The sequence below is a fragment of the Homo sapiens genome, chromosome 10 (assembly GCF_000001405.40).
Source record: "Homo sapiens chromosome 10, GRCh38.p14 Primary Assembly".
In the NCBI taxonomy this organism is placed as follows: Eukaryota; Metazoa; Chordata; class Mammalia; order Primates; family Hominidae; genus Homo; species Homo sapiens.
This window is the reverse complement of record NC_000010.11, coordinates 35,469,114-35,491,690: the sequence shown is the minus strand read 5'-3', so window position 1 is coordinate 35,491,690 and position 22,577 is coordinate 35,469,114. Positions and strand designations below refer to the sequence as shown.

The window sequence follows — 22,577 nt, the reverse complement described above, 5'->3', positions numbered from 1 at the left end:
AGTGAGCCGAGATCGTGCCACTGCACTCCAGCCTGGGCGACAGAGCGTCTCAAAAAAATAAATAAATAAATAAAAAATTAGGTGACAAGGGAGAGGAAGCTGGCAGGAGAGGAAAGACGCTGACTTCTGATTTGGACATGCCAACCCCAAGGAGCATGTACGATTTCCAGACTGGCTGTCTACCAGGCGGCAGAAAACATCTCTGGAACACATGCTTACACTGGCAGGACGGGGTGGCTCCTCTTGCCAGGGGTCCTGGAAGAGGCTGGCTCAAGAGATCCCCAGTGAGGATCCCAAAGTACCTGTTACATCACAAGTCAATGAGCAGACATTGCTGAGGGCTCGCTGTGTGCCTGGGACTCACCCTACTGCTTCAGGAGAGCAATCTTCTAAGGAGACAGGTGTGTCCATTGTCAATTTATAGGAAGTTATGACCCAAGAGATTATGTGACTATAAATCCCACTAATGGAAGACAAAGGCCTAACGCAGAGCTGGGTCCTAGAGCCTTGCCTAACTGGAGGCCAGAGGCTGGTTCCCTGCCACTGGGGTGGCCACAGGTTGGCAAGGGCATGGGCAGCCCAGCACGCACAAATGGACCTGTCTGCACACTCAACTACTCATGGCTTTTGAGTACCCACCCTCCTCCACACACCCCAAACTAGAGGGAAAGACAGGTGAGGTAGTAGTTTTTGCAATTCTTTTATTGAAATGGTCTGTCACAAGTAACTTAGGGCTAGACTAGAGCAAAGGTCCTCAAACCAAGTATTCAAAGAGACCTTCAAATGGGCTGAGGTGTGATGCAGGAACCACCTTCCTCCCTCACAACTTCACAAAGAAAGGCAGGCACACCTGAGCTGAGGCCTGCACTGACCTGGTGTGAAAACCTCCAGGGGCACCAGATGGAAAGACAAGCAGCCACTGGGGTTGTGGTAACCACCTTCAATCCAGGTTCATGTGTCTTTCATCTCCTGCCAGCCTCCTGTGGCACAACCTGGAGGCTTCTTTGTCCTATGGACTTTCCCTGGAGGGGTGCTGGAAAGACTTCCGGCTCTGGGTTTACAGATATCACAGTGAGGATGGTTTCCAACAGGACCTGCCTCTTCAGGCGTTAGACCCCCAAGCAAAGCTCGGGGAGCAGCGAGGGCAGCAGTGCAGGAGGACACAGGGAAGGGCGGGAAGGTGCAGTGGACCGCAGACTGCTGCCTAGGTGTGCACTCCCCTGCGCCTGTCTGGCCATTTATGATCAGAAGCACAAAGGCAGCCATGGGCATGCACATTAACATGTTATGTGAATTGCAAAAATAAAATCAGACTTTTTCTCACAGAAGGTAAGACTGATTCTAAGAAACAGGTGTGATAGGCAAAAATACAAATAAAGAAATACATAATTAAAAATAATGTAAGACTGATTTGACTGACTGGATTGACTATGATGCCTGGCTTTGCCAACAAAGTCATATGAAGAACCTGTAGCATTCTGAGGAAAATATATTTAAATCAAAAGAGAAGCTGAAAACATTAGTTCAGAGGAAAAGAGCAGGTGGGGGTTCCTCCATTCAACATATATTTGAGTTCTTTCTATGGGCCTGGCACTGTGAATGGCAGAGATGTATAAACATGAAGACTTGGAATAAATCACGATACGCTGAAGACCTCTGCGGCGACAGAGGGACATGCAGAATGCGGTGGGGCAGCAGTCAGGGAAGGTGTTCTGAGATTAGGCCTAGATTTATTCTCCCAAAGCTCCCAAGGATATCAGGTTAAACTAGGTGCCACCAAATGTAAAGAGTAGTAGATATAATTGAAAGTCATGTGCTACATTTGGTAAACCTTTTTTGATGTACTTCCCAGAAACTGTAAAAATGAGGGACTCCTCTAACTGAGTAATTCTTTTGCAAATCAAATAGATTCCAATTCTCTACTGTCAATAAAATAGAAGGAGAACAAAACTGAACTGTAGCTGATTATTAGGAATTATTTTGGCTGACAAATCCCTTGGAGATTTTTCGACATATAAACTAGACAGAGTAGAAAGAATTCAATGATATGACTATAATAAAAATCTTTCTATTTCCATCTATTTATATAGATGAACAAAGTTCCTCAGCACTTACATCTATAAAAACAAAGGCTTGGCTGGGTGCAGTGGCTCATGAGGTCAGAAGATCGAGACCACCCTGGCTAACATGGTGAAACCCCATCTCTACTAAAAATACAAAAAATTAGCTGGGCGTGGTGGTGGGCGCCTGTAGTCCCAGCTACTCGGGAGGCTGAGGCAGGAGAATGGTATGAACCCAGGAGGCAGAGCTTGCAGTGAGCCAAGATAGTGCCACCGCACTCCAGCCTCAGCGACAGAGCGAGACTCCGTCTCAAAAACAAAACAAAACAAAACAAAAAACAAAGGCTTTGATGATGAATACTGCCTCATTTCAGTAATAAGTAATATCAACCCATAGAGGCATCTCACCAAGAAATGTTTTTCCAAAAAATATTTCATTTTTTTGTTTAATAATTATCCGGTAAAATGTAAGACTACAGGCACCTGCCACCACGCCCAGTTAGTTTTTTGTATTTTTGGTAGAGACAGGGTTTCACTGTTAGCCAGGATGGTCTCGATCTCCTGACCTCGTGATCCGCTTGCCTCAGCCTCCCAAAGTGCTGGGATTACAGGCGTGAGCCACCGTGCCCGGCCTAGGTCATATTTTTATAGAAAAGAATATGATAGTGTGATAAATGACTTTTCAAAATCAAAATACATTATACTAGTATAACATTTTATGGAGAAAATAGTATGGAAATACAAGTTCAAGATGATAAAGGAGTGATATGAAATTTCCAACTGTTAGGAGCATGTTCATACATTTTTAAAGGACTGAAGGTGGGTATCAAATCACTCTGGTATTAAAATTTCATCTGAAATATTTGTTAAAGAAGGCCAGTTTATTTTAAAATATCAACGTTTATAATCCATCAGAAATTATGTGCTTTGATAGGGTAAAAAAATTTTAAGGTCAACGTAAAAATGCTTGAGGGACTTCAGTTTTTCAAAATTGTTTTCCATAGTATGTAAGCAAAGGAACAAAGCATGAAAATCACTGGTGTAAGCTTAGGTCTTCCCTATGGCACTTGACATGCCCTGAAGGAGACACACCGAGCAACTGAGGGCAGCTGGAGAAAGGGGCACCCCAGCACCTGCACACCTGCACACACGAACGAGCCAAAGACAGCTGGGAATGCAAGTGAGGTGAGGACAGCAAGGCCATGGCAGCGCTCGGAGGAAAGCAATCCCGACAGGGCAGTGGAAAGTTGCTCCTAAATGCTAGATAAGAGGAGGACAAAAAGGGTGGTTGTTTCACCACGCAAAAGTTCAACACTGCCCGGTAACCAAAACACGACCCCAATGAGGACAGCCACAGAATATTTTTTCAATTTCAGTATTTCTAAAAGGTTGTGCAACTAAAACTAAGAATCATATTTTTATTTCTGAATTTTAATGTTTCTACTTTGGCTCAAGCCACTCAAGGGATGGATAGTTTTTATTCCTTTAATTATTTCAAGGGACTCCTGAGAAACACAGATTCCGCAAACTTAGGGTTTTTTCCTCCAAATTCTTTGTTAAGACAATAAATCTCTAAAAATCACACTAATTAAAAGGAAAAAGATGTGGCTTGGCTGCTTTCTCATATTATTTAAGAATATTAAGCTCTCACATCTTTGAAAATGATGAACTAAAATAAGTACAGAAAAGGAAAGGACATGAGGAACTACAATTCTTCCCCACAAGTAATGATAGTAGCATGAAAAACCATGGCAGGTCTCGCAACCTAACTTCTCTCTGGCCTGGCAAACTTCTCTACCCCCATGAGGAACTCTTGGTCCCTTCTCTGCTGAGTGGCTCCTGTACAAAGTCTGCAATGTCATCCTCTTTGTGTGAAGAAAGAAAGCAGTCACTCTGGCTTTGGATAAAATACCCTTACCTTCAGCCTCTGGAGGGGTCTGATGAGCAGGCTACTTAACCAGTTTTGTTGGAGTTCCTAGTCTCCTGCTTGGAACAAGAAAAAAGTTCCACGTCCAGCCTAAATCTCTTGGATATCCAGAAGGAAAAGGAATTCAGCAATCACGAAAACTCTGATGACATCATGCAAGTGCCATCTAAATCAGTCTAGTGAACAGCTGGGAGGTGGGATGCATGGCCGACAACTTGTTTCCCACATCATGAAGTGCTGAGGGGAAAGAGAATGTGGGGTCTGCAGAAACACGGAGCTGTCAAGACCCAGGAGCTGCATGTCTGTGGTCCAAGCAGCAGCTGCCCTAACATGACTGTCCTCATCCCAATCATGGCTTCCTATCCACAAATCAAATCTAAACTACTGTCAAAGTATATTAACCTGAATGAAGGAAAGAGGAGAAATCACCAGATTCAAAAGAAAAGACTCTAATAGAAGTATGCCTTACTGTCTCAGACTATATTTCTTCCAACTAGAAAAAAAATAGGGTAGAAGACCCACAGTTGTGGTCTTGTAATGGAAATATAAGTTTATCCAAGTGACGAATTATCACAATCAAATCAAGAATGTTTCCTGGTTTTGTCATCTTCCTTCTTTCAACCAGTCAGGTTGGCACAAGGAATACTGACATCCAATATCACATGATCCTTTTCCTCTAGGGGCTAGCGGGTGGCAAAGACAAAAAGGTCGTTTTAAATTCCACAGTATGGTTCTGATGATGAAGAAAGATCCACAGGCTACTCCTATGGGAGCTCACCAAAGCCCCACTCAACCCAGGCTGAGGGATCAAAGAAACCCTCAAGGAGGAAGTGACAGCAGGAGGAGCCTGGAGGACAGAAGAAATCAGCTGTGTGAAAAAGGGAAGGAGAAATCCAGGTGTGAGGCAAGTGGCAGACTTGAGGAAGCAAGTGATTCAGTATGTATGGCGGAAGCACAGAAGTACACAAAGAAGAGAGGAAGTTGGCTGGGAAGGAAGGCAGAGGCTGGATCACGATGGGCCTCATATTCCATGCTAAGATGTTTGAAATTTAACTCTAAAGCAACTGGGGAGCCCTTGAGAAAGGTTAAGGAAGCCAGTGGCACAATCGTATCTGATTCACGGGAAGTCCTGTCAGCTAGCGGCAGCACAGACCAGGGACTAGAGAGGGATAAGGTCAAGGGCAGGGAGTCCAGTCTAGAGGCTGCTGCAGTAACACAAGTGGGGAACTGTGAGTCTGAACTAAGGTGGCAGCAACTGCAATAGGAAATAGTGGTCAGGTTCAAGGCTGGGTAAGAGGTGAAACTGAGTACACCTTGGAATGCCTGGATGCAATGGTGTACTAGTAAATGTTTAACAGTCATCTGTTTAAAAAATGCTCTGATTTGCAGCATTTACCAATTTCCATGGTGTAAATACTCTGATTATGGCTATTTCAAGCCGCCAATATGATGTCACTGAACCTGGAGCTGGGAAGAAATGTATCTCCAGCACCGCTGCCCACCTGTGAGAAGAGGAGAGTCTACGAAAATCCAAAGCCCTCCTTGGCTTAGGGACCTGGGCAGGGTAGAAAATGCAGAAAGTTAACTGGAATTCTTAAGTTCTGTCTGGGACATACTGAGTCAGGGGAACCTACAGCCTTCATTGTAAAGATGTCCAGCAGGCAGCTGAATACGTGGGTTTTGAACAGTACAGAGAAAAATATGGTTAGACACGACAGTTGACATAAATGCCATGAGGAACTGTGTGCAAACCAAAAAGATAAGAGGGTAAACAAGAGACCCTGGGAAATACTACATTAGAGGGACAAATAGAAGTTTATGAAGATGTCTGAGGAGCTTTCAGAAGGGCAGGATTTCTTAGGACCAATTTGCCAAAAGCCAATTCACCAAGTAGCCAATTCTCTGATTATCATGTCACTAAAGAATTCATTAAAGTTACCAAATCTACGTGTTTTTTTTTTTTGTTTTTTTTTTTTTTTGAGACGGAGTCTCGCTCTGTCGCCCAGGCCAGAGTGCAGTGGCACAATCTCGGCTCACTGCAAGCTCCACCTCCCGGATTCACGCCATTCTCCTGCCTCAGCCTCCTGAGTGGCTGGGAATACAGGTGCCCGCCACCACACCCAGCTAATTTTTTGTATTTTTAGTAGAGACGGGGTTTCACCATGTTAGCTAGGATGGTCTCGATCTCCTGACCTCGTGATCCACCCGCCTTGGCCTCCCAAAGTGCTGGGATTACAGGCGTGAGCCACCGCGCCCAGCCCAAATCTACCTATTTTTAAAATTGATTTTTTCTAATTATTTATAAAGCAATTGTTCATTAGAAGCACTTAATTTCAGCAAACTGCCCATCTGAAAACAGAAGGCCAAAAAGTTTTTAAAAAGCACGGAATTCTTGGTGACAGCAAGTGCCACATACATGGGCAATAGCCCAAGAAGAGAAAATGTCCTTAGGTCACTCTACTGCTATGCTCCACAGAATGGCAGGGATAGGAGGAAGATCCCAATGGGAGAGTGGACAGGGAGAGAGGTAGAAATGGCATAGAAGCTTTCACCTGAAGAGAGGTATTGGTTACTTTCCCTTTTTCTATGAGACTCATTTATGTTTACATGTTGAGTAGAAAGATCAAGCATTTAAAGAGAAACTGAAGCAATAAACAGAGGGGTCAGAGTAATTGATGCCCTGATGTTCCAGAAGAGGAAAGGGAATGATATCTAGTGCAAAGGTGACGAGGGAAGATACAGTTCCCTAAGCTAAGTCTGGAACAACCCTGACTTAGGTCAAGTTTCCTTCTACCAGGACAACCAAGGTATGGGAAATCCACTTAGAGGCCTAATGCAATTTCATGGGAATCTTGTTAGCACATCTTCTGAATGAAGTTGGTCTGCACTCTGAGTTCACAAGAAGCAAGAATGAAACCCGAAAGTAAGCCAGCTTTGTTTCTTGTTTTTATAGTACTATGTTTCTTGTTTTTATAGTACTATCAGTGTCTGCAAAACTTGGTTTTGACCCTCTTTTTTCATGGTTCCAAACACCCATCTTCACTACCACTCTCCTTCCTTTGTATTATCCCACCCCTCCCAATGGCTTCCTGCTTCACCAGAGGAAAAAAATGTTTCTTTTGTATCCAGCACACCAAAAACTTACTTCAGTTTTGCCATTACTTTTAATGGCAAAAACTGAAATTACTTTTGCACCAACCTAAATACTAGATGCCTATACTAATTTATTCTTGGAAACGTTTACTTTTCATAAACACATCAAACTTTCAAATCCAGTCAGTGGCTTGCCTAACTAAAGATTCCCAATAACATTAAATCAGCACTATACCTTGCCAAAATTGTTACCTAATCGTTACTGAAGTGTTATCAATTCTCATTTATGAACTTACTATCTTAAACATGTTTGGTTATTTTCTAGTCCATTTAGGATCTTCTCTGAATTAAAGCTTAGCAATTGCCCAAAAAGTTAGGGATAGAATCATGTAGGACTCCAGCATCCTAAAGTAATATCCTGGTCATGATATCATCATTTAACGAGTTTCTCCTGCCACCTTTTTCTATAGGAATCCAATGAAGATGTGTGTTTGCCACATTGTATAAGTTTTATCTTCTCTCTCCTCTGCAGCCAATGCCCAGGGAGGGGGCTGAAAAGAGAGAAAACTCCTAGAAGAAATCCCACACACACCTGGGATGAACCATAAAGATGGTACGATCTACAAGAATAAACTTAGATATGGTTGTTATTATTATAGAGGTGGAAAAAAAAAGAGAAAGAAAACATCTGCACCTACAGTATGGGTTCAATTCAGCTCTCAACTGACACAACAGAGCTAGTTGGTGGTACTTTTATTTAAGGATTATATTTTGCTTTCTTTTACATACTGTCTAAATTAACAAATACTTCTGATCTTATGAGAAATTATGCAAATATCAATTCTAAAAGGAAAATTTCTGACTCTTAGGGCAGAAACTCCCATGACACAATGTATGTAGAAATAATATAGCTGATTGACAAAATGAGGATAGATGCTTCAAATAGGAAATTCTAAAAACATAACACTGCAAAAGAAAAAAATCCCAAGAGAACTACCATTAAACAGTATATGTGTGGGTCACTAAAGGGACTCTATTTCATATTGAAAATTAAATCCTGTGGGAAATCAACACTAGGCGAAGTACCAACATGAGCCTTTTTTACAAAAAGAAACATAAATTAAGGACCTACCGTCCGTCTGAGATTTACTGAGGAATATTGTGCTGGCCCGAGGATGATCTGAAGGATTGAATTCCATGTTCAAATCTTTAAAGAAAGGAAAATAAATTATATGAATAAACCATCTGATAACTAAGAGGAATCAAGATTGACTCAATTATTTTTCAACTTTAAATTGCTAATACATTCAAGGATTCTGGAAACCTATAGCTATTATGTTAATAGATTCTTTTGGTTCAATTCAGAACACTGCTATTTAGAAATATGAAAGTCATACATAAAAATTAGACAGTTGGCTAGACATCTATTAGCCTAAGAAAAACTCCACTTTCTCCTGAAAAAATTCTGCTCTGCACCCAATATACTATAAAATAGCAGGACAGAGTTATGGCATGTGATTAAAGAGAGTTATGTGCTACAACAGATTCATCGAAACATTACAGTCAAGTACATGGTAGTTCCTTATTCAAGGTGATTAAAATAGGAATATCTCAACTCGTTAGGGCGAATCAGCATCCACATACTCTGCTTAATTATTTTCTGAAAAAGCAAAACTTGTCCCTTAGAGCAAAAGCTACACATCGGCCATTTGTGGACCTAATCTGGGCCCCAGACATGTTTTGTTTGATCCCTACTTTTTAAAAAACATTTAAGACAACATATAAAAATCAAGAGATTTCAAACACATAACACACACACACACACACACACACACACACACACACACACACACACACACACCTATTTCCAGCTTCCCTTGAGAAATCAGATCGTTTGGCAACACTGAGCCCCCACCCCAGTGGACACAACTGGCTGAAGCCAAGCAGCTGTGACCCCTTCACAGTGGCTGTGTCCCTTATGGGACATAAGACTCCAGCTCCCCAGTGACCACCCCTCTCTGCTTTACTGGCAGGTCTTCACAAGCATTTGATTTTGCAATCTTAGAACTCTTAGAACAAGCTCCAAGGTCTACAACTTGTCAGGATGGTATAAACAACTTAGAATGCCATCACAGAAGAGTTTTTCCAGTTTAAAAAACAAAAAACAAAAAACTGATTCCATAGAAAATAAGCAAAACAGAAGAATTAAGTTAGGGAAGGAAAGAGATCAAAATTACTGGAAAGCCAGAATGGTCTTCAAACCAACTTAGAGAGTCAGAATAAAACTTCTTGGGTTCAATTATTTCAATAAATTTGCAGAGAAACCTAATCAACACTAAGAAAAACAGAAGGGGCTATCCTTAGTGTTAATAATCAATCAAAGATAAAGTGAAAGAAAGAAAAGGATGGTAAAATAAATATACACTGGAGGCAACACCTAATCACTTATCCACAAAGAGATTTATCCTGAGCAAACTTCTGAAGTGTGGTGATTTTTTTCCTACATCAGCCAATGGCTACTGGGCCAGTTCCTAACTTCTCCCGGAGTACCTGATTAAAGAAACATCTATTGAATCTTAAACAGATGCTACTTCAATTATCTGATCCTTCTTGTATTATATAACTTCTGTTAACATTACACAATAATTTCAGAGTCAAAGCTATTAAGGGGGTTTGATGGAAGGAGAAAGATGGGTGGAAGAGACACTGAATTTTTTGAATTTGCTTCAATTTGAACTACAGTTAGTCAAGAAATTTCATGGTGAAAATGACTCTGCAAGGAGGTTTCCTGCTCAACTAGGATATAAAAGGGGTTAAATAACAAATGCGTTACTAAATGTTTTGAGGGCTTTTGCATATCAAAATGAGGGCAAATATAAAATCCTAACCAGGATGGATGCTTTTAATGTCCAAGAAACTTAACACATAGTCCCCTAGAAAAGCAGCAGTGGAAACACATCATGCATGCAGTTCCCACATGCCAGCAAGGTGACACCAGAAAATCAATCCTTGGCCTCAGACAGCATCTGGACTAGCGACTACTACCTTATTCCCTTCATGCCCAACTGAGACTCATCTACCAGACCAGTTTTCTTTAAGACCCACTTTTATTACTAAAATACATCAGTAGAGGTTTATGGAACACCACAATCAAAAAATGTGAAGCTTTCCTGTTTGGAACCAAAATAACACAAGACTGTCATTTCTTGGAGAATTGAGATCCTGCTCCTAAGTCCAAGAATGTCCTGGAAGACAATCCCCTAACTGCCTGCAGATTGGGGTTCTATGCTGTTATGTTCACAAGCCCTCAAAGTTGTTAATAATGGGGATATCACAGATTCTAAGGGACAGCCTCCAATAATGGGACACTTTTAATAGTAAATAATAGTACTATCATTTGGATGGTGAAATGCTATCATACCATCTAAAAATCACATGAAGAATATTTTATTGACACGGAAACCGATGTACCGTATGTCATTAGGTGACGAAAGCATTATGATACCCTTTTGGGGGAAAATATGTGTAGGCATAGAAAATACATCAAAAGAATATACACCAATATTTGGTTATCTTTGAATAATGTGATTGTTTTCTGAGTTTTATGCACTGTAAACACTTTCATTGGTTTGTTTTTTTGTTTTTGAGATGGGGTCTTGCGCTGTCACCCAGGCTGGAGTGCAGTAGTGCAATCATGGCTCACTGCAGCCTCAATTTCTTGGATTCAAGCGATCCTCCTGCTTCAGCCTCCTGAGGAGCTGAGACTACAGGCATGTACCACAAGCCTGGCTAATTTTTTTATTTTTTGTAGCTACAGAGTCTTACTGTGTTGCCCAGGCTGGTCTCAAGCTCCTGGGCTCAAGTGATCCTCCTGCTTCAGCCTCCCAAAGTGCTGGGGGATTACAGGTATGAGTCACTGTGCCCAGCCTATTGGTTTGCTTTTTTTAACTTTTGTTTAAAAACTACTTGTGAAAACTGATTTGACCCTCTGAGTGGCTGGACTGCCTCTCCAACACAGGGTGGTGTTCCCAGAAGATGCCCTGAAGCTCTCCCTGAATTCAGAGGAGATTCACACAGAGTCACCAAGATGAGTCTCCCCTCGGCAGTGTCCACTGTCATAGAAGCTCAGGGTGAAAACTGACCAGCTCAGAGGCACTCCTGAGCGATGGCACCCTCGCCCTCCACCAGCAGCCCGTGCCTCTCCGCTCCTCCTCAAGAGGGCTGCAGCGAGGAAAGGCGGAATGACCACTTGTTCTCTGTGGGGGAAGCCAAGCAGCAGGATTATGTCTCACACTCTCCCTATGAAAGGTGAGCACCAAGTGGGAGGCTAAGAAAACCCTGTCACGTTTCCTTCATGGCCAAGTTATAACTCTAAGTCTGACAAGAATGCTCCCTGGGCCACAAGTGGTCCCTAATGATGACAGGCCAGGTGTCATCTCTCCCCAGTGCGGTGACACACAGCAAGTGACTTGCAGAGTTCAGAGACTTCAAGACCAGTGTCTGATGTGAAATTCACGGATGAGGTGAATACAGGCCAGATCTTGAAGAAAACTATGGTAATTACAATATGTGTTCTATCATGGGAACTCTACCTCCTTGGGGAACAAAAAAAAAAAGGGGAAAAGCCACCATTCTCAGAAGCCAAGCAAAATGAACCTGCTTTATCACCCTAACTTCACACTGAAGCCAAGCATGACAAACACTGCAATTTTAGCCATGAAGGAAAAAGATCCCCTCATTGCAGAGTCAGGAAAAATGATATCCCCAATGTTTACCATGAGGTAGAATACATCTGGAAGAGCGTAGTGGTTTCAGTTCACCTCTATGATGTTTTTCTTTTTTTTTTATTATTATTATACTTTAAGTTTTAGGGTACATGTGCACATTGTGCAGGTTAGTTACATATGTAAACATGTGCCATGCTGGTGTGCTGCACCCACTAACTCGTCATCTAGCATTAGGTATATCTCCCAATGCTATCCCTCCCCCCCCTCCCCCCACCCCACAACAGTCCCCAGAGTGTGATGTTCCCCTTCCTGTGTCCATGTGTTCTCATTGTTCAATTCCCACCTATGAGTGAGAATATGCGGTGTTTGGTTTTTTGTTCTTGCGATAGTTTACTGAGAATGATGATTTCCAATTTCATCCATGTCCCTACAAAGGACATGAACTCATCATTTTTTATGGCTGCATAGTATTCCATGGTGTATATGTGCCACATTTTCTTAATCCAGTCTATCATTGTTGGACATTTGGGTTGGTTCCAAGTCTTTGCTATTGTGAATAATGCCGCAATAAACATACGTGTGCATGTGCCTTTATAGCAGCATGATTTATAATCCTTTGGGTATATACCCAGTAATGGGATGGCTGGGTCAAATGGTATTTCTAGTTCTAGATCCCTGAGGAATCACCACACTGACTTCCACAATGGTTGAACTAGTTTACAGTCCCACCAACAGTGTAAAAGTGTTCCTATTTCTCCACATCCTCTCCAGCACCTGCTGTTTCCTGACTTTTTAATGATTGCCATTCTAACTGGTGTGAGATGGTATCTCATTGTGGTTTTGATTTGCATTTCTCTGATGGCCAGTGATGGTGAGCATTTTTTCACGTGTTTTTTGGCTGCATAAATGTCTTCTTTTGAGAAGTGTCTGTTCATGTCCTTCACCCACTTTTTGATGCGGTTGTTTTTCTTGTAAATTTGTTTGAGTTCATTGTAGATTCTGGATATTAGCCCTTTGTCAGATGAGTAGGTTGCCTGTTCACTCTGATGGTAGTCTATTTTGCTGTGCAGAAGCTCTTTAGTTTAATTAGATCCCATTTGTCAATTTTGGCTTTTGTTGCCATTGCTTTTGGTGTTTTAGACATGAAGTCCTTGCCCATGCCTATGTCCTGAATGGTATTGCCTAGGTTTTCTTCTAGGGTTTTTATGGTTTTAGATCTCACATTTAAGTCTTTAATCCATCTTGAATTGATTTTTGCATAAGGTGTAAGGAAGGGATCCAGTTTCAGCTTTCTCCATATGGCTAGCCAGTTTTCCCAGCACCATTTATTAAATAGGGAATCCTTTCCCCATAGCTGGTTTTTCTCAGGTTTGTCAAAGATCAGATAGTTGTAGATATGCGGCGTTATTTCTGAGGGCTCTGTTCTGTTCCATTGATCTATATCTCTGTTTTGGTACCAGTACCATGCTGTTTTGGTTACTGTAGCCTTGTAGTATAGTTTGAAGTCAGGTAGTGTGATGCCTCCAGCTTTGTTCTTTTGGCTTAGGATTGACTTGGTGATGCGCGCTCTTTTTTGGTTCCATATGAACTTTAAAGTAGTTTTTTCCAATTCTGTGAAGAAAGGCATTGGTAGCTTGATGGGGATGGCATTGAATCTGTAAATTACCTTGGGCAGTATGGCCATTTTCACGATATTGATTCTTCCTACCCATGAGCATGGAATGTTCTTCCATTTGTTTGTATCCTCTTTTATTTCCTTGAGCAGCAGTTTGTAGTTCTCCTTGAAGAGGTCCTTCACATCCCTTGTAAGTTGGATTCCTAGGTATTTTATTCTCTTTGAAGCAATTGTGAATGGGAGTTCACTCATGATTTGGCTCTCTGTTTGTCTGTTGTTGGTGTATAGGAATGCTTGTGATTTTTGCACATTGATTTTGTATCCTGAGACTTTGCTGAAGTTGCTTATCAGCTTAAGGAGATTTTGGGCTGAGACAATGGGGTTTTCTAGATATACAATCATGTCATCTGCAAACAGGGACAATTTGACTTCCTCTTTTCCTAATTGAATACCCTTTATTTCCTTCTCCTGCCTAACTGACCTGGCCAGAACTTCCAACACTATGTTGAATAGGAGTGGCGAGAGAGGGCATCCCTGTCTTGTGCCAGTTTTCAAAGGGAATGCTTCCAGTTTTTGCCCATTCAGTATGATATTGGCTGTGGGTTTGTCATAGATAGCTCTTATTATTTTGAAATATGTCCCATCAATACCTAATTTATTGAGAGTTTTTAGCATGAAGGGTTGTTGAATTTTGTCAAAGGCCTTCTTTGCATCTATTGAGATAATCACGTGGTTTTTGTCTTTGGCTCTGTTTATATGCTGGATTACATTTATTGATTTGCGTATATTGAACCAGCCTTGCATCCCAGGGATGAAGCCCACTTGATCATGGTGGATAAGCTTTTTGATGTGCTGCTGGATTCAGTTTGCCAGTATTTTATTGAGGATTTTTGCATCAATGTTCATCAAGGATATTGGTCTAAAATTCTCTTTTTTGGTTGTGTCTCTGCCCGGCTTTGGTATCAGAATGATGCTGGCCTCATAAAATGAGTTAGGGAGGATTCCCTCTTTTTCTATTGATTGGAATCGTTTCAGAAGGAAAGGTACCAGTTCCTCTTTGTACCTCTGGTAGAATTTGGCTGTGAATCCATCTGGTCCTGGACTCTTTTTGGTTGGTAAGCTATTGATTATTGCCACAATTTCAGATCCTGTTATTGGTCTATTCAGAGATTCAACTTCTTCCTGGTTTAGTCTTGGGAGAGTCTATGTGTCCAGGAATTTATCCATTTCTTCTAGATTTTCTAGTTTATTTGCATAGAGGTGTTTGTAGTATTCTCTGATGGTAGTTTGTATTTCTGTGGGATTGGTGGTGATATCCCCTTTATCATTTTTTATTGCATCTATTTGATTCTTCTCTCTTTTCTTCTTTATTAGTCTTGCTAGTGGTCTATCAATTTTGTTGATCCTTTCAGAAAACCTGCTCCTGGATTCATTGATTTTTTTGAAGGGTTTTTTGTGTCTCTATTTCCTTCAGTTCTGCTCTGATTTTAGTTATTTCTTGCCTTCTGCTAGCTTTTGAATGTGTTTGCTCTTGCTTTTCTAGTTCTTTTAATTGTGATGTTAGGGTGTCAATTTTGGATCTTTCCTGCTTTCTCTTGTGGGCATTTAGTGCTATAAATTTCCCTCTACACACTGCTTTGAATGCGTCCCAGAGATTCTGGTATGTTGTGTCTTTGTTCTCGTTGGTTTCAAAGAACATCTTTATTTCTGCCTTCATTTCGTTATGTACCCAGTAGTCATTCAGGAGCAGGTTGTTCAGTTTCCATGTAGTTGAACAGTTCTGAGTGAGATTCTTAATCCTGAGTTCTAGTTTGATTGCACTGTGGTCTGAGAGATACTTTGTTATAATTTCTGTTCTTTTACATTTGCTGAGGAGAGCTTTACTTCCAACTATGTGGTCAATTTTGGAATAGGTGTGGTGTGGTGCTGAAAAAAAATGTATGTTCTGTTGATTTGGGGTGGAGAGTTCTGTAGATGTCTATTAGGTCTGCTTGGTGCAGAGCCGAGTTCAATTCCTGGGTATCCTTATTGACTTTCTGTCTCGTTGATCTGTCTAATGTTGACAGTGGGTGTTAAAGTCTCCCATTATTAATGTGTGGGAGTCTAAGTCTCTTTGTAGGTCACTCAGGACTTGCTTTATGAATCTAGGTGCTCCTGTATTGGGTGCATATATATTTAGGACAGTTAGCTCTTCTTGTTGAATTGATCCCTTTACCATTATGTAATGGCCTTGTCTCCTTTGATCTTTGTTGGTTTAAAGTCTGTTTTATCAGAGACTAGGATTGCAACCCCTGCCTTTTTTTGTTTTCCATTTGCTTGGCAGATCTTCCTCCATCCTTTTATTTTGAGCCTATGTGTGTCTCTGCACGTGAGATGGGTTTCCTGAATACAGCACACTGATGGGTCTTGACTCTTTATCCAATTTGCCAGTCTGTGTCTTTTAATTGGAGCATTTAGTCCATTTACATTTAAAGTTAATAGTGTTATGTGTGAATTTGATCCTGTCATTATGATGTTAGCTGGTTATTTTGCTCGTTAGTTGATGCAGTTTCTTCCTAGTCTCGATGGTCTTTACATTTTGGCATGATTTTGCAGCGGCTGGTACCAGTTGTTCCTTTCCATGTTTAGTGCTTCCTTCAGGAGCTCTTTTAGGGCAGGCCTGGTGGTGACAAAATCTCTCAGCATTTGCTTGTCTGTAAAGGATTTTATTTCTCCTTCACTTATGAAGCTTACTTTGGCTGGATATGAAATTCTGGGTTGAAAATTCTTTTCTTTAAGAATGCTGAATATTGGCCCCCACTCTCTTCTGGCTTGTAGGGTTTCTGCCGAGAGATCCGCTGTTAGTCTGATGGGCTTCCCTTTGAGGGTAACCCGACCTTTCTCTCTGGCTGCCCTTAACATTTTTTCCTTCATTTCAACTTCGGTGAATTTGAAAATTATGTGTCTTGGAGTTGCTCTTCTCGAGGAGTATCTTTGTGGCGTTCTCTGTATTTCCTGAATCTGAATGTTGGCCTGCCTTGCTAGATTGGGGAAATTCTCCTGGATAATATCCTGCAGAGTGTTTTCCAACTTGGTTCCATTCTCCCCATCACTTTCAGGTACACCAATCAGATGTAGATTTGGTCTTTTCACATAGTCCCATATTTCTTGGAGGCTTTGCTCCTTTCTTTTTATTCTTTTTTCTCTAAACTTTCCTTCTCGCTTCATTTCATCTTCCATTGCTGATACCCTTTCTTCCAGTTGATCGCATCAGCTCCTGAGGCTTCTGCATTCTTCACGTAGTTCTCGAGCCTTGGTTTTCAGCTCCATCAGCTCCTTTAAGCACTTCTCTGTATTGGTTATTCTAGTTATACATTCTTCTAAATTTTTTTCAAAGTTTTCAACTTCTTTGCTTTTGGTTTGAATGTCCTCCCGTAGCTCAGAGTATTTTGATCGTCTGAAGACTTCTTCTCTCAGCTCGTCAAAGTCATTCTCCGTCCAGCTTTGTTCCGTTGCTGGTGAGGAGCTGCGTTCCTTTGGAGGAGGAGAGGCGCTCTGATTTTTAGAGTTTCCAGTTTTTCTGTTCTGTTTTTTCCCCATCTTTGTGGTTTTATCTACTTTTGGTCTTTGATGATGGTGATGTACAGATGGGTTTTTGGTGTGGATGTCTTTTCTGTTTGTTAGTTTTCCTTCTAACAGACAGGACCCTCAGCTGCAGGTCTGTTGGAGTACCCTGCAGTGTGAGGTGTCAGTGTGCCCCTGCTGGAGGGTGCCTCCCAGTTAGGCTGCTCGGGGGTCAGGGGTCAGGGACCCACTTGAGGAGGCAGTCTGCCCGTTCCCAGATCTCCAGCTGCGTACTGGGAGAACCACTGCTCTCTTCAAAGCTGTCAGACAGGGACATTTAAGTCTGCAGAGGTTACTGCTGTCTTTTTGTTTGTCTGTGCCCTGCCCCCAGAGGTGGAGCCTACAGAGGCACGCAGGCCTCCTTGAGCTGTGGTGGGCTCCACCCAGTTCGAGCTTCCAGGCTGCTGTGTTTACCTAAGCAAGCGTGGGCAATGGTGGGCACCCCTCCCCCAAGCCTCGCTGCCGCCTTGCAGTTTGATCTCAGACTGCTGTGCTAGCAGTCAGCGAGACTCCGTGGGGTAGGACCCTCCAAGCCAGGTGCGGGATATAATCTCGTGGTGCGCCGTTTTTTAAGCCCGTTGGAAAAGCGCAGTATTCGGGTGGGAATGACCCGATTTTCCAGGTGCCGTCCGTCACCCCTTTCTTTGATTAGGAAAGGGAACTCCCTGACCCCTTGCGCTTCCCGAGTGAGGCAATGCCTCGCCCTGCTTCGGCTCGCGCATGGTGCGCGCACCCACTGACCTGCGCTCACTGTCTGGCACTCCCTAGTGAGATGAACCCGGTACCTCAGATGGAAATGCAGAAATCACCCGTCTTCTGCGTCGCTCAGGCTGGGAGCTGTAGACAGGAGCTGTTCCTATTCGGCCATCTTGGCTCCTCCCCCCAAGGAACACATTTTTATGATGTTTTTCAATGACAAAAATTAAAAGTAATAAATTAATGGAATACTGAGCTTAAAATTAGAGATTATAGACAAAATACACTTCACTGCTAAAGTATGCTGACCACTTTGCTGAAGTCAGCTCTAACAGTTTATTATTCATTTTTAAAGTAATAATCTAAACACTAATTGTTCACATGATCCTCCCTCAATCCACCCCAAAATCACATATCCCTCACCCCTCACAAAGCCCCTCTTGGAACTTCACACAGCTGGGCCTCCCTTAGACCCGCCTTTGCAGCGTGCAGAGAGCTCTGACTCTTCCCACCTGCTCCCACCAAGCTCTTGAAATACCTCATGTGCTAACTCACCAAGAAGAAGAAGAACTTATAAAATTTAAATAGTTACTCTACTGGGTGTCATTGTAACACAAACTACTGCCTTACTGAAAGAGTGAAGCCCCACCAGAGCATTTCCATCCCTGAGAAAAGACGACACCACACAGAAGCCGAGAGCTCTGCCACGAGGCAGGTGGGCATGTGGCCGGCCTCCGGGAGGGACAGAGACATGTACGGCCTGGTTTATCCTACACAAAATTACAATTGATTCAGGGAGTCAAGATGAAGTACATGACACATCAGAGTGCAGAACCAGCTAGGGAACAATGAAGAATAAAATATGTGACCCAATCCTGGGAGACACAGAATAGCATGCTTACAAGAGAATAGCTTAAACAAAGCACTGGACTCATAATTTTTTGAGTCAAAAATAAATATTGCTTTTTTTTTCCTAGCAAGGCAATTCCGTTGAATTCAGTTAAATGGACCAACATGCATTGAGTCTCCACTATATGCTAGGTATTATGTTCAATTCTATTCGTATCGAAATACTACTTTGGGGTAGTAACCACTTGTGTCATTAACTTTCCTATTCTACATGACCTATTTCATGGTCATAAGAAAGCATTCTTGGTTTTCAAAGGGCTACAGTCGATTAATGGTGAGACAAAACATGTATTTAGCTGACTTCAAAATGCATCCTATGACATTTCTATCACATTTACCTTCACGATTATACTGTGATAGGATAAATTAGCATTTCATTAGATGTCACGAGTATATACTGAGAGGTTGTCAGGGCCAGTCCATTCTGCCATGGTTTTCATTCATTCATTCATCCATTCATTCAACAAATAATCACTGAGCATCTACTAGGTACTAAGTAATGCTGAGTTACAGGTACTGAGGATACAGAAGTAACGAAAGAGATCAAGTCCCAGCCCTACAAGAGCATCCTTCTAAGTTGAAGGTATAAGGTACTAGAGGAGAAAACAAAAAGAATGAAAAACCCATCAAGACTGACTCTATAACCCACATTCAGAAAGCTGAAAATAAGACTCTCCAGGAGTTCTCGGAATCATTCATTCCCCAAAGAGATGCTCAAACAGTAGAAAAAGAATTACACATTTTAAAATGTAAAAGATCCAGATTTGAATTCACTTTTGCTAGCTCTATGGCCTTGGGCAAATTGTGATACTATTCTGATCTCATTTTCCTTATCTACAAAGTGGGCTAATAACACCTAGCTTCGAGAACTGCTATGACGATTAGGAGTCAGGTACTAGCGCAATGGGCAGGATGTCCACCACACAATAGGGTCCCCAGAAATAATGGGTATTAAAAACATTAAGCCACAGCACTTAGATCAGGGCTAAAGAAACAAAACTCTCAATACATAAATGTTAGGCTTAGAGACACTAAAGATTGTTAAATTTCATTACACAATTTCTGTTCTCTAAGGAGTGCTGGCTTGAAATTGATGTTTAAAAGTTTGGTGTTGCATACTCCTGACTTAGAGTCTCCTACCTCCTAAAAGAATGGCAAGATAATCCATAAATTAACCTGAGGAAGTAATGCTTTAGAGGAAAAGGCAGTTTTAAGGAATGTCATGGAATCCCCTGAGCTGACTTCAATCTAATATTTAGGAAGCAGAGTCTTAGCCTATTTTTTGTTTATGATGTTGATACCTATTAAGACACACAGCTGAATTAAAATATTCAAAGAATGGTTATTCTAAGGGCCTCCTGCCAGACTCTGAGGTGACAACTGAGTGTTCGGTCACACTGCTTTCAGTCCATGTGTCAGCTGAGCACAAAGTAAAATACAATGCCTTTATTCAAAACTAAAGATAAATCAAACGGCATGTGGCACAGTTTAATTCGGCAGTATTCTCTTATACTGGTCAACCTCATTTTCTTCAGTCTTTTCCACAGATGTCACAGTAACAGTGATCCACAATTGCTCATCTTGGCTTTTAAACCAGCACCAAGTTTACCTTCCAGTGTTATAAAGGATCCAGGTAATAAGATAGTGGCTAAGAAAAGCAGCCATCATAAGCTATCATTAATGGTCTGAAAAACTAGTAAAAAGTAAAGCAGAAAAGCACAGTAAGACCTAAACAGCACTGGATGGAGAGGAGGCGCCAAAGCAAGCCTGTAAAGTCAAACTATCCCCTCCCCCTCGCAAGCCCCTCGCATCCCCCTTTCTCTGCACTGCCACGCCCCAAACTGATAATCACTCCAATAAATCATCTCCACAAGATGGGCTGTCCACTTAGGTCTAGACAGTGTCAGTGAGCAGAGCCCAAAGGAATCAAGGGTTCTGTGATTCCTTGATAGGTTCTGGAACTTCAAGATGCACAGAAAGTGAGTTTCAACTGGGAGGCCAACTGTGGTACAGCCCCACAGTTACCCTCCGAAGACATCACTAGTTCTATTTCCTGTCTTTTGAGCAATATTTGATATGGTTAAAATCTCAAACCCCTAATTTCAATTTTAGGTAGTCACATTTCCAAATCTGGCTATGATGTGGGAGGCAATTATGAAATCAACAAAGCCTGTTAATTTTAAATCAGATTGTTTCTTTTGTTGCTATTATTGTCCCTGCCACTGCCTCACAATCAGTGATTATCTCCATTTGTTAGTGTCAACAGGATGAAATCAGGAGCTGACCAGGCTGGTTTGCTCCAGGAGGCTGTCACCAGGGAAGCCTGAGCCCAGCAGCCCACATCAGCATTCCCACGAGAACAACAGCTCCTGCTGTGGCTGCCGCAGCCAAGTGCTGCTACTGCAGTTCTGGTTAATCCCACCTAAAGCCATCTTTTCTACTCCCACTGACTTCAAGTTTATTTTCTGGACTATCATAACACACTTATATTTAGTTGTTTCCTATTTTCACTCTCTTTCAGCCACTGGTGCCCCTGCAGGTGATCTCCGTGTATGTCTTTGCAAGTGTGTGTCTCTGTGTCCACACGTCTACATGTGTGGGCCTCCAGGGCAGTCTCTCCGCAAGTGGGTTGCTAACTGAATGGATGTGTCTCTGTGTGCAGCTCTCTGTGCACACACATCCAGCCCTCAGTCATCTGCTCTGTTTGTCTGTCTGTCCCTCCATCTCCCTGTCCATCTCTGCATCTCCCCGTTTGCCTCTCCTTCCCTCTGTCGGTCTCTCCACCTGCCTGTCCGTCTTTCCATCGCCCTGTCTGTCTCTCCATCTCCCTGTCTGTCTCTCCAACTCCCTGTCTCTCCATTGCCCTATCTCTGTTTCCCTCTCTGTCTCTCCATCTCCCTGTCTGTCTCTCCACTGCCTTGTCTCCCCATCGCCCTATCTTTCTCTCTCCATCTCCCTGTCTCTCCATCTCTCTGTCTCTCCATTGCCCTATCTCATCTGTCTCTCCATCTCCCTGTCTGTCTCTCCACTGCCCTATCTCCCTGTCTGTCTCTCCATCTCCCTGTCTGTCTCTCCACTGCCCTATCTCCCTGTCTGTCTCTCCATCTCCCTGTCTGTCTCTCCATTGCCCTATCTCCCTGTCTGTCTCTCCACCTCCCTGTCTGTCTCTCCATTGCCCTATCTATCTCCCTGTCTCTCCATCTTCCTGTCTGTCTCTCCATCGCCCTGTCTCTCCATCTCCCTATCTCTCCATCTCCATATCTGTCTCTCCAGTGCCCTATCTCCCTGTCTGTCTCTCCATCTTCCTGTCTCCCCATTTCCCTGTCTCTCCATCTCCCTATCTGTCTCTCCAGTGCCCTATCTCCCTGTCTTCTCCCTGTCTCTCCATCTCCCGTCTGACTCTCCATTGCCCTGTCTGACTCTCCATCTCCCCCTGTCTATCTGTCTCTCCACTGCCCTGTCTGTCTGTCTCTCCATCTCCCTGTCTGTCCATCTCTCCATCTCCCGTTCTGCCTCTCCATCTTCCTCTTTCCAACCCATCTCTCAGTCTCTCTTCTCCTCCTTCTCTTTTCCTAGCTATAACTGTTTCCGTTTTCCCTTCTTCCCTCCCCAGTTCCTCTCTGCTGTCCTATTTCTAATTTTCTATCTTAATGTATCTAATATTCTATCTTAAGATTAATCAAGGAGATAAAGATGCTAATGTTAAGACTAAAGACAGATTATTCTGCCAATACACAGACCAGATAACCTAAAAGCTCTCATGCTACATGCACTTTGTAATGTGAGTTAAAATATAATACAGCCTTTTAAATGCCTATAAGTGTGGCAAGAAAGCAGGGTCAACGGCCTAAGGCCCGAATCAAAGAGAGAACTGAAGTCTGTGGCAGGACAGGGGCTATCCAGTTGTGTGAGCTGGTCTTGGGTTTTGACTAAGGTGACACACATGC

At 42.4% G+C, this 22,577-nt stretch overlaps 1 protein-coding gene across 5 annotated transcripts in view; it reads right to left on the bottom strand.

The window, feature by feature from the left end:
* The window catches only part of CCNY (cyclin Y), a 325,643-nt gene that overhangs the window by 80,977 nt on the left and 222,089 nt on the right, over window positions 1-22,577 (bottom strand). For 4 of the 5 annotated variants that reach the window (NM_181698.4, NM_001282853.2, NM_145012.6 and 1 more), the window contains one exon: window positions 8,213-8,287. The exons of the other annotated variant lie outside the window; for it this stretch is intronic. In NM_181698.4, the coding sequence (NP_859049.2) occupies window positions 8,213-8,279 (67 nt within the window). In that variant the 5' untranslated portion in view covers window positions 8,280-8,287. The remainder of the gene's footprint in view (window positions 1-8,212; window positions 8,288-22,577) is intronic. 5 annotated transcript variants of the gene reach the window in all.